Source organism: Homo sapiens, chromosome 1 (genome assembly GCF_000001405.40).
Source record: "Homo sapiens chromosome 1, GRCh38.p14 Primary Assembly".
NCBI classification, from domain to species: Eukaryota; Metazoa; Chordata; class Mammalia; order Primates; family Hominidae; genus Homo; species Homo sapiens.
Window position 1 is genome coordinate 192,548,984 of NC_000001.11, and position 12,714 is coordinate 192,561,697.

A 12,714-nucleotide genomic window follows, 5' to 3' on the forward strand; every position below is an offset into this window, starting at 1 on the left:
TAGTTCAACACATTTCAAGTGCTCCATAGCCACATGTGGCTAGTGTCTACCCTATTGAACAGTGTAGTTCTAAATATTACTAAATTATTTGCCTTAGTGTTGATACCAATGTGTGAGCATTCCAATTGGACATCCTTATCAACATTTGGTCTATCAGATATCTTCAGTATTTTGCCAATCTGAAGGGTAAGCCAGAAAAGAACCCTAGTAGAAAAACTGAGGAAGTTTGAGTAAAGTCTGTAGTTCAGTTAATAGTATTAACTAATGTTAATTTCCTAGTTTCACTAATTATAAAAATCATTATAGAAGATGCCAAAATTAAGGGGAGTGAGTGAAAGTTATTCAAAAGTTCTGTACTATCCTTTCAAGGTTTCCATAAGTCTAAAATTATATCAAAATAGAAAGTTTTTAAAAGTCACCCCCTAATTGAACTTGAATTTCATTTCCTCCTACAGATTACAGGTATACTACTTCAGGCTTTCCAAAGGACAGTTTTTTATATGCTAACTGAAAGCGTTTTTATTTAAACTACAATAGTAGATGAAAGAATGTACTAATACTACTCTCATTTAATTCCATCTATAATGAAAGACCCACCAGACAATTTTGTGTCGGTGAATACTGGAAGCAAGGTAGCCTCTGGGAATTAAACTTGACACTGCTATTGTGAGTTCTGCATCTTTTCAATGTTATATCACTTTTCTGTACTGGTCTAATAGCACCAATTTTATTCTGCTGTGTCTTAAACATAATTTTGCAATTAGCATGCGGCACTTTCTCTACTAGGTAAACAGTAAAAACAATAATAATTCTGCATTGCTTTCAATAGTGTGCATAATGTACTAACCAAATGCCCTAAATTGAATAGATGATGAAAGTTACATTCCAACCCTTAAGAATTTACTAGAGAAGTTAAAGTAATAGATTCTTCCTTTCACTTGAACTGGTCTTTACATAAAATTTTGTCTTTCCCCACATTATTCCTCAGAAGTCTTCATGGTTGCTTCTTAGTAACTAAAGGTTTTAACTAAAAGGAAAAAAGAAAGAAAGAAAGAAGCAAAAAAAAAAAAAAAACAAAAACGTCTAACCTGCTTCTGTTGCTGCCCTACTTACAGTTACTTAGAAATCGCAAGCCTCTTTTAAGCCAACAGAAAGCTGCTGTGAGGACAGGCAGAGAGCCCTCTGAGAGTAAGTTGTGTTTTTTTCTTGAGCTTTAAGCATGGACACCCATGCCAGTGCCATTTCCAGAACTGAGATTCGCCTACAGAGCTTTAACCAATTGTACTTTCTCCTCATTCTTTATTCTTCCTCCAGTAGCCTTTAATCAGTACTTATCATTCATATGCTAATTTAGCTTCCACTTAAATTCTCAATTTGAACTCACTTTAATAACAAACAGCCAAGTAAATCACTTTTCAAAATTTTATAGTTTTTTTAAAAGTTATTATTATTGTTATTTGTAGAGACAGGGATCTCACTATGTTGCTTATGCTGATCTCAAACTCATAGCCTCAAATGATCCTCCCACCTCAGCCTCCGAAAGTTTTAGGATTACAGGCATGAGCCAACATATCCGGCCAAATCTGTTTTTCAGATGAGCTGCAAAGGTCAAAACATTAGCAACTGTTTAGAGTAAGCATTATAAGGGGCTAATACAGCTTGGAAGTGATAACTGTGCCCAAAAGTATCTCCCTTTAACCATCCCAGTAACTGATTAAAATACACAGGGAATACATGTTATAATCATGCAATTACCCAGGAGGTTCGCTGGAGACAGTGTAGTCAAGAGCACTAGAAAAAGGTCATCCAGAGAGATGCAGGGGATTTACACATCAATTTTCATTTAATTAATAATTGTATCTATGACTTATGTTGGAATTTTTCAGTCTGAATTTTCAAGGTTAAGGTTTGCAGTAGCATTTCCTCCCTGGTAGAAAGACATAACTTCCAAGCATTAATCATACACTTAGGATGCAGCCTTGTGTCTGCAGCCACAGTGTCATTTTCAAGAACTGTGTGAGCCTTGACTTGAGGCTGTTTGAGCATTGAGCTAAGGCTTCTACTCTGAGTAGTCAATGCTCCAATGGAAGTAAAAGAGCAAGGATCTGTCTATATCAATGCAGTTTATGACTAATTGTGGTTACTAGCTTTCCTGCCAGCATTTTTCAAAGTTTTAGAGCCATTTATTTCAACAAAGAGAAAGGGTGCTAAAAGTCACCACCGCTCTGAAAGAGAACTTGAGAAACTGGAAGACTTCCCCCATATCAGATGTCACTTGGGGAAGTTCAAGAGAAGAATTGACCTCTGAGGACAAAGCAGTTGGTTACTATGCACATTTGCTCATAAGCACAGCTCTGAAGGTCACTGCAGGGGAATTTACCTCAGTTTACAGGACAGGAAGGCCAGGGGGTAGTACTCCAGAAAAACTCACCACCACTTCTCCAGCAGGGTTTTTTTGGTTGACTCAAAACTAAGGCTTTGCCATGCACGTAAGGTAGATGTTTCAAATAGTTAAGGGAAATACCCTACAGAGGTTTTATATTATTTATGGTTAATACTTTTAGTAACAACTGATCACTCTTGGGGGCACCCTTTTAACTGATAAGAGGTTCTTCCACACATTAGTTGCTGTGCCAAGTTACTAAAACATTTTCTAGGCTGGGCACGGTAGCTCACACCTGTAATCCTAGCACTTTGGGAGGGCGAGGTGGGCGGCTCGCCTGAGGTTGGGAGTTTGAGACCAGTCTGGCCAGCATGGTGAAACCCCGTCTCTACTAAAAATACAAAAATTAGCTGGGTGCGGTGGCAGGCGCTGGTAATCCCAGCTGCTTGGGAAGCTGAGGCAGGAGAATTGCTTGAACCCAGGAGGCCGAGGTTGCAGTGAGCCGAGATCACGCCATTGCACTCCAGCCTGGGGCAACAGAGCAAGGCTCCATCTCAAAATAAATAAATAAATAATAAAATAAAACATTTTCTATCACTTTTACTCAAGGATATATTGTAGGGGCAGATGTTTCTATGGTTTTACTCTCATGGGTAAAAAATAAATAAATAAATAAATAAATAGATAAAGTGAAAAAAAGAATTCTAGTTGTGGAAATTATTGCTATCCCTAGCCATCAATTTGTCGATGATTTTATATAAATTAAATTCTGATACTTATAAATTTTTAGCACATCTTAGAATGGATACCCCATTGGAAGCCCTGGGTATGTTCTGTGGTTCTGTCATGACGGAGCCAATGACCAGGGAAAGAAAATAGGTAAACTGGACAGTCACTGGGGATCAAATCAGACAACCAGGGCTAAAAATCCTAGCCCTAAAACCTGCTAATTGTGTAAACTCAGGCAAATTACTTAACCTTTCAAACCTGTAGTTGCCTCATCTGTCAAATGGAGTTAATTAAGCAGTTCCTTCCTCCTATGGTCATTGTGAGGATGGATGAATACACAGAAAAGATAGCACATAGTGAATTCTGAATATATGTATCTCTTATTAGATTTGTGAACTTAAGTTTTTAAAAATCTCTGAGGCTAGACATTTCATTCTAAATTAATAATACCCATCTCATAGTGTTGTATTAACGAGAATTGACACGTGAAAAATGTGTATTTTCTAAGGATCTGTGATACACATATTATAATATACATGTTTGAACCTATGTACCTGTCTAGTAAAGATATTTTGATATTCTTGAGGAGAAGCATCATATGTCAAGAGTGAAATGTAGATGAAGTTGATCATTTTAAGCTGTTTTCTAAATGACATATGAAAAGAGAAACAGAGAGAAAGCATAGATACCATACAGTTGCCTGGGCCCACCTGTCAGCATTAATAATAAATACAAGAACATATGACGATATCGGCAAACATGCTTGAGAACTTGACTGAATGTGGATATCCTCCCGTCACTATGTTTTAAGTATATCACGTGAAAAATAATCAACCATTGATTCCTGGAAATGGCCACATTGGTACGAACTGGTATGCAGGGCATCCTGCACAGCTATTTTGTATATCTTTCTTATCTTTTCTGAACCTATTTCCTGCACTGCAAAGAAACTGACACAGGATGCTTATGAAACAAGATTTAATTTTTCAGTCCACATATGTGACAGCTGAACATCGAAAAGCCCCTAGATTTCACAGAAGTAAATTTTAGTATTTTTCTAATGGAAACCCCCATGGTATGCAGGGTTCTTATAAACTGCATTGGAATTCTATTATTAAAGTCAGTCACATAACTTCTTACCCAGCTTACTGCCTTCAAAGTCTCTTTTCACATTTTTCACTTTGGCACAAAATGTTGTACTACGAAGTGATCTTGAAACATTTTAACTTGAAAAACCCTTAAATAGTTCTGTAAACTATTACCCAATTCTCTACACCAAAATTTACAAAATGCACTTGAAATAATCATATAATAGATGACTTTGAAATCCAAAAATTAGAGTTATTTTTAAACAGGGATATTCAATGAGGCATTCAACTCACAAGCCAAGTCCCAAAAATCTCATAGGATGATACATTGTCATTCTAATTTCGAACTGAAAAGGCTACCTTCTGAATCATACTTGAAAATGAGATAAATGCCTTAATATGCTGTTAAAAGCTACAGTCTTCATACACTGATAAAAATTTCTGTGAGAAGAACAGCCAAGGGAAAGAAAGCAATTGATTAAGTTGATGGAGGGAGAAATAATGAAACAAAACAAACAAAAAATGTATAGCCCTGGAAGATAATTTACCAGGAAAGACCTTTGATTATGAGCTATGGGCTCCATAAACGTGAGAGAAGTTCCAAATCAGATTTCAACTTGGGAAAGACACAAATGCAAAAAAAGAAGCCACAAGGGTAACTCTTGTGACGACCAAAATAGGGGAATAACTTGATTTGAATGAGAAAGGTTCTCTCTGTGTGGAAAGGAGTTCTTCTAGGTGCAACATGCTCAATACACTTAGAGGAAATGGCACCTTGAAGTAATGATAGCTTTAGTCATATGAAGCAGCAACTTTGAGAAGCAGCTTAAAACAATGAAACAAGCATGAATTTGAAGTCGGGCTTAAGTTCTATTCCAAGTTTTGACACTTCTAGTTAGAAAAGTTTATCTCTTTTAAACTCAGTTGTCAAATTTGTTAAATGGGGATAGTGAAATTTGTCTCAAAGGATTACGGTAAAGATTAGACCAAGTAATCTAAAACATCTAAGATGGTTTTATATTTGTTATCTTAGCGTATTTATTATTAGCTATGATTATCACCTTTATCAGTAGTGTAAAAATGCTTCTACACCAGGACCGGGCACGGTGGCTCATGCCTGTAATCCCAGCACTTTGGGAGGCCAAGGTGGGCAGATCACAAGGTCAGGAGATGGAGACCAACCTGACCAACATGGTGAAACCCCATCTCTCCTAAAAATACAAAAAATAAATAAATAAATAGTGGGGCGTGGTGGTGCGCGCCTGTAGTCTCAGCTACTCGGGAGGCTGAGGCAGGAGAATGGCTTGAACCTGGGAGGCAGAGGTTGTAGTGAGCCAAGATCGTGCCACTGCACTCCAGCCTGGGCAACAAAGTGAGACTCCATCTCAAAAAAAAAAAAAAATGCTTCTACACCAAGTCTGAAGGAAAACATTGGCCATAAGTGCTTCCAAGGGTGATTTTAATCACTGGCATGTATGACAAATGAAAAACTGGCACAGAGAGTTGTGCCTGCATGAGCATAGCAGGAAGTCTCCTGATAATCAGCCTGTTCTAGATCACTTTACTTCCCCTAGTTTATTCCTCCTAGATTACCCCTCGAAGGGTCACTATATTAAATCAGTCTCTTGAAAGTTATTTTTATTTTCAGATGCCTGTACTACAGTAAGATTCTTTTCTTTTTAATTGGTCAAACCACTGCAATACATAATGTGTTATTTCCAACCATGTAAGAAGGGGAAATTGGTATATGTTAACAATATTAATGAATTTCTAGATCTGTCTGTGACACAACCAAACTTGAAAGTTATCATTTGACATAAGTATGCTAACAAAGCAAGTAGTACTTCCTTAATCATTTTTAGGGTTTTGAATAATGGAAAGTGTGGTCTAGAGGTTAGGACAAGTGGTTGGAAGTCATGCTCCCAAGAGCTGTCTCTTGCTCTGACAGTGACGCACTGGTTGACGCTAGACTAGACGGTTGACCAGCTATGAGCCAATCCGTTTATTTCAATTACTTCTTTTCAGCCTCAAATGCCATCACTCTAAAGACAAAGTCTAATAGTGTAACTTTAAAACTACAAATCAAAGTTATTTGATAATCTATATAATCATTATATTATATTCATGAAGAAATGCAATAAGATCAGCATACTAGTGCTCTGCAAGTCAATTTATAGTCAAATAAACATATAAATGAAGAATAAATTTTGATATGAATGAGCTGTCAACATGTAATATCAAAGCAGGAAAAACTTATGGCTAGAAAAGAATTATATCAACATAAAAATGACACAAAAATTATGGTCACTGAATGTAGGCTGTCACCAAGCTGAAGATTTCTCTTTTCAAAGACTTACTTTCCAGGACTCACAAGATTTTAGATAATAAAGAATAGTGATCCCTGTGAGATAGGAAACAACCAAAGTGAGCCTATGATTACACAATTTACTGCCTGGGAAGAGTGTCTAGCCTACTGTGTTGGGTAAAGAAACCCAGGGAGAGTCCAGCAGTCTCTGTAAGTTGAAGAGGCAAAAGCTGGGACTTCAAGGAAACTAAAGCAGATAGAATCTGCAGGAAAAAATTCAAGAAAAGAACATGCTACAGAGATAAATGACTGTAGAGTTTGTAGAGGGTTCCACTTCAGTATTCAGTTGAATACTGATTAGCATTTGTTTGTGACAAAACTACCAGGGGCCAAGGAAAAAAATGACTAGAAAGAATCAGAAGGAACAATGCTTAGACATCACACAGGGATGGGATTAATCCCAAAAGCCAGAGTGAAAAACCTAAAATTTAAAAAGTATTAGGGAGAGTACTAAGAAGGGCTTTGCCTCACTACTGGGAAAATTAACCTTTGACAAAATATTGCATTGATCCCACTTCACAAAACTTGATTTGAAAAAATAAAAATATTTTCTAGTAACTGAACCTTATCTCAGAAATAAGGACAAGAATATTTATAGGAATGTGAAGTACCTAGTATTTGAAAAAATAAAATACACAATTTCTGCCATTCAATCAAAAATTGTCAGGCATGCAAAGAAGCCTAGAACATACAACCTATAATGAAGAGGATAATCAATCAACTGAAACTTCTGAAGAAATAATACAGATAATATAATTAGTAGACAAGAATATTAAAACAGTTATTATAACTACATCTCATATGCTCAAGAATTTAGAAAAAAAGATTGAGCATGGTAAGTAAAGTAATGGAAGATATAAAAAGACACAATCAAACTTCTAAAGATGAAAACTACGACGTCTAAAATTAAAAATGCACTGGATAAGATAAATGTCATATTGGACACTGCGGAAGAAAACGTTACAGAACTTGAAGACACAGCAAAAGAAACCACCCAAATGGAACACAGAGGGAAAAATCACTCAAAAAAAGAAAGAAAGAAAGAAAGAAAGAAAGAAAGAAAGAAAGAAAGAAAGAAAGAAAGAAAGAAAGAAAGAAAGAAAGAAAAAGAAAGAAAGAAAGAGAGAGAGGAAGGGAGAGAGGAAGGGAGGGAGGGAGGGAAAGACAAAGAAAATTTTTGAAAAAACCAACTAGCAGTGATCTGTGGAGTAAATTTAAGCAACCAAATATATATGTGATTGAAGTCTCTAAAGGAGAGAAGGGGGGAGGCAACAGGAAGAATATTTGAAGAAATAATTGGTAAAAAATTTTGTAAATTTGATTAAAAGTATAAGACCATAAAGTGATATAATATCACTTGAAGGCAGACACTCATATGTTAAGGATGTTAACTATAAACCCTAAAGTCAACACTGATTTTTTTTTTAAAAAGAATTACAGCTAAGCAGCCAACAAAAGAAGTGATGTTGAAATCATAAAAAAGGCAGAATTAATCCAAAATAAGCCAGAAAAAGAGAACAAAAAATAGATGAGACAAATAGAAAACAAATAGCAAAATGGTAGATTTAACTACAACCATATCAATAACTGAATTAAATATAAATAATCTAAGCACCCCAAATAAAAAGCAGAGCCCATCAGATTGTACTGAAAAGCTAGGTCCAACTACATAAGGCCTTCAAGAAACACATTTTTAAAATAAATACATAAAATGGGTAAAAATAAGATGATACAGGAAAAATATCATGTTAATACCAACCTAAAGAAAACAGTTCTGGCTATATTAACGTCAGACAAAGCAGATTTCAGAGCAGAGAATATTACAGGGATGAAGAAGGTCATTTCATAATGATAGAGATGATTTGATCCAAAGGGGCTAAAATTAAAATATGTATGCCACTAATAAGAGAGCTTCAAGATAAAGGAGGCAAAAACTGATAAAACTGTAAGATACAAATTTACAATTATAGTTGGAAATTTCAATATCTTCTCTAAGTAATTGGATGACTAATTAAATAGTTAATTAGTAAAATATAAAAGACTTAACATTATCAACCAACTGGAGTTGTCATTTATAGAACATTCCATATAACAACAGTAGACTATACATGCATGCCTCGGAGATATTGCAGGTTCAGTACCAGAATATCACAATAAAGACTGTATCACAATAAAAAGAGTCTCACGAAATTTGTTGTTTTCCAGTGCATTGCAAAAGTTAAGTTTATACTATATTGGAGCCTATTAACCGTGTGATGGCATTATGTCTAAAAAGCAATGTACATACTCTGATTTAAAGACTTTATTGCTAAAAAATGCTAGCAATCATTTGAGCCCTCAGTGAGTCATCATCTTTTTGCTGGTGGAGGGTCCTGCCTTGACGCTGATGGCTGCTGGCTGACCAGGGTGGTGGTTACTAAAGGTTGAGGTGGCTGCAGCAATTTCTTAAAATAAGACAAAAGTGAAGTTTGCTGCATTGATTGACTCTTCCTTTCATGAAAGATTTCCTTGTAGCACGTGATAGCATTTTATCACTGTAGAACTTCTTTTACAAGTCAGTCATCTCAAATCCTGCTCCTGCTTTATCAACTAAGCTTAAGTTATATTCTAAATCCTTTGTTGTTATTTCAGCGGCGTTCACAACATCTTCACTAGGAGTAGATTCTACCTCAAGAAGCCACTTTCTTTGCTCATCCATAAGAAGCAACTCCTTGTTCATTCAAGTTTTATCATGAGATGGAGCAATTCAGTCACATCTTCAGGCTCCAATTCTAATTCTAGTTCTCTTGGAATTTCCACCACTTCTGCAGTGACTCAACTTCTTCCAAAATCCTGTTATTACTGATATTTTAACCTCCTCTTATGAATCACAGATGTTCTCAATGGCATCTAGAATGGTGAATCCTTCCCACAATGTTTTCAATTTACTTTGTCCAGGTCCACCAGAGGAATCAGTATCTCTGGCAGCTATAGTCCTGTGAAATATATTTCTTAAATAATAAGACTTGAAAATTGGAATTACTACTTGGTCCATGGGGTATAGAATAAATGTTGTATTAGCAGGCATGTAAACAGCATTAATCTCCTTGTACATCTCCAACAGAGCTCTTCGGTGACTAGGAACGTTGTGAAGGAGCAGTAATATTTTGATAAAAATCTTTTTTCTAAGCACTAGGTCTCAATGGTTGGCTTAAATTATTCAGTAAGCCATGCTGTAAACAGATGAACTGTCATCCAGGCTTTGTTTTTCCATTTCTAGAGCACAGTCAGAGTACATTTAGTATAATTCTTAAAAGCCCTAGGGTTTTCAAAATGGTAAATGAGCATTGGCTTTAACTTAAAGTCACCATCTGCATTAGTCCCTCACAAAAGACTCAGCCTGTCCTTTGAAGCTTTGAAGCCAGGCATTGACTTACCCTCTCTAAGTAGGAAAGTCCTAGATGGCATCTTCTTCCAATATAAGGCTGTTCTGTCTACACTGAATATCTATTATTTAGTGTAGCCATTCTCTTAAATGATCTTCAGTAGATGCTCTGGATAACTTGCTGAAGCTTTTACACCAGCACTTGCTGCTTCACCTTGCACTTTTATGTTATAGAGATGGCTTCTTTCCTTAAATGTCATGAACCAACCTCTGCTAGGTTCCAACTTTTCCTCTGTAGCTGCACCTCTCGGCTTCATAGATTTGAAGAGTTACGGCCTTGCTCTGGATTAGGGTTTGGTTTAAAGAAATGTTGTGGCTGCTTTGATCTTCTCTCCAGACCACTAAAACTTTCTCCACATCAGCAGTGAGGCTGGTTTGCCTTCTTATCATTTGTGTGTTAACTGGAGTAGCACTTTTAATTTCCTTCAAGAACTTTTCCTTTGCATTTACAACTTAGCTCACTGGTGCAAGAGGCCTAGCTTTCAGCTTATCTCAGCTGAAAGTGACTCCTCTGGATCTCAGCTAGACAGTGATTCCTCTGGTGGATCCGGGCAAAGTAAATTGAAAACCTTGTGGAAAGGATTCACTATTCCAGATGCCATTGAGAACATTTGTGATTCATGAGAGGAGGTCAAAAGATCAGTAATAACAGGCGTTTGGAAGAAGTTGAGTCACTGCGGATGTGGTGCAAATAGCAGGAGAACTAGAAATAGAATTGGAGCCTGAAAATATGACTGAATTGCTGCATCTCATGATTCCTTCCTCACTAAGCCCAGTCATTTCTAACTTTTAATTTAAGGTGAGACTCATGTGACTCTTCCTTTCAGTTGAACATTTAGCGGCCATTTTAGGGTTATTAACTGGACTAATTTTAACATTGTTGTGTGTCAGGAAATAGGAAGGCCTGAAGAGAGAGAGAGAGATGGGAAATGGCCAGCAGTACAGCAGCCAGAACACAAACAACATTTATCAATTAAGTTCACTGATATGGGTGAGGTTAGTAGCATTCCAAAACAATGATGATGGTAAAATCAAACATCACTGGTCACAGATCACCATAACAGATATAATAATAATGAAATGTTAAAATATTTTGAGCATCACCAAAACGGAACACAGAGACATGAAGTAAACACATGCAGTTCGAAAAAGGTGCAGATAGACTTGTTTAACGCGGGGTTGCCACAAACCTTCAGTTTGTAAATCTACACTATCTATGAAGTGGAATAAAGTGAAGTGCAATTAGAGAAGATAGGCCTGCACACCCCTTCCAAGTGCACATAGATCATTTATGAAAATAGAACATATTTTCGGCCATAAAGTGTATCAATACGTTTTAAACGTATTGAGATCCAAGCCATACAGAGTATGTTCTCTGTATCTTAATAGGATTAAATTGAAACTCAGAAACAAAAAGATCTTTGAAAAAATCTCCAAGTATATGGAAACTAACTAACACATTACTAAGTAATCTATGGGTCAAAGAAATCAAAAAGGAAGTTAAGGTGTATTTTGAACTAAGTAAAAATGAAAACACAACATATCAAAATTTATGGGATGCTGCTTAAGTAGTACTTAAAGGGAATTCATAGCACTAAACATCTATGTTAGAAAACAAGAAATGTCTTAATTCAATTATCTCAGCTTTCACCTCAAGAAAGCAGAAAAAGAAAAGCACATAAAACCTAAACTTAGCAGAAAAAATGGAATAAAAATCAGACCAGAACTCAATAAAATAGGAAATAGAAAATCAAGAAAACTGAAAGCTTCTTTAAAAAGATAAAATTTGTTTTTGGAAATATGGACTGCTCTGTAATAGCATCAGTATAAACTAGTAAAACCAACCATTCTATCTGCTCCTACACTCTCTACTCACTAATTATTTTTCTATTGTTGTATGCTTTCACACAAACTCCTGAAAATAAATTACATAATTAGATTGTGTACCACATAAATTGTCAATATTCAACAAATTTTTAGTATAAAACTGGCAATTCCGGCCGGGCGCAGTGGCTCACGCCTGTAATCCCAGCACTTTGGGAGCCCAAGGCAGGCGGATGACAATGTCAGGAGTTTGAGACCAGCCTGATCAACATGGTGAAACCCCATCTCTACTAAAAAAACAAAAGAATATTAGCCAGGCGTAATAGCGCGCCTGTAATCCCAGCTACTCAGGAGGCTGAAACAGGAGAATCGCTTGAAGCCAGGAGGCGGAGGTTGCAGTGAGCCGAGATCGTGGCATTGCACTCCAGCCTGGGTGACAGAGCGAGACTCTACCTCAAAAAAAATAAATAAATAAAAATAAATAAAAATTAAAAAGGCAATTTCATGAGTCATCTAATAGATATAAATATAAACATAATGAAGAATGCAATCTGCACTGTTGATTGTCTTAATCATAGTGATTGCTCTGCTGTGCCACCCAGATTCCCCCACTTCAGGACTATAGCATTCATTCCCCAGTTGCTGAAAGTGTTGCCAACCAACACCTCTTAGCTAAGCACAGCTGAAGGGACCTACTTCCCCTAAGGTCCCAGCAACTTTGTTGGGGCAGCTTGCATCCCATAACTAGTCAGCGAATGATTTAAAGGCACAGTCGCCTTGATTCAAGCTGGATAAAGTCTGAGGGCAGGCCTAGGTTCGATGATGACTGCAGGATTGACTGAGGCCCTCGTTGTGACTGCAGCTCAGCCCAATCTCTCTCTCTGCCCTATTTCACTGACCT

General features: G+C 36.7%; 1 long non-coding RNA gene across 1 annotated transcript in view, besides 2 other annotated features; it reads right to left on the reverse strand.

The window, feature by feature from the left end:
* LOC105371664 (uncharacterized) overlaps positions 1-12,714 on the reverse strand; it is a 115,921-nt gene that overhangs the window by 35,871 nt on the left and 67,336 nt on the right. The gene's annotated exons all lie outside the window — the stretch shown is intronic.
* Positions 2,496-2,575: an enhancer, noted in NCBI's record as "active region_2260". NCBI's record gives its function as "activates an Ori minimal core promoter by ATAC-STARR-seq in GM12878 lymphoblastoid cells {active_cell/tissue: GM12878}" and the evidence as "EXISTENCE:reporter gene assay evidence [ECO:0000049][PMID:35858748]".
* Positions 10,833-10,882: an enhancer, noted in NCBI's record as "active region_2261". NCBI's record gives its function as "activates an Ori minimal core promoter by ATAC-STARR-seq in GM12878 lymphoblastoid cells {active_cell/tissue: GM12878}" and the evidence as "EXISTENCE:reporter gene assay evidence [ECO:0000049][PMID:35858748]".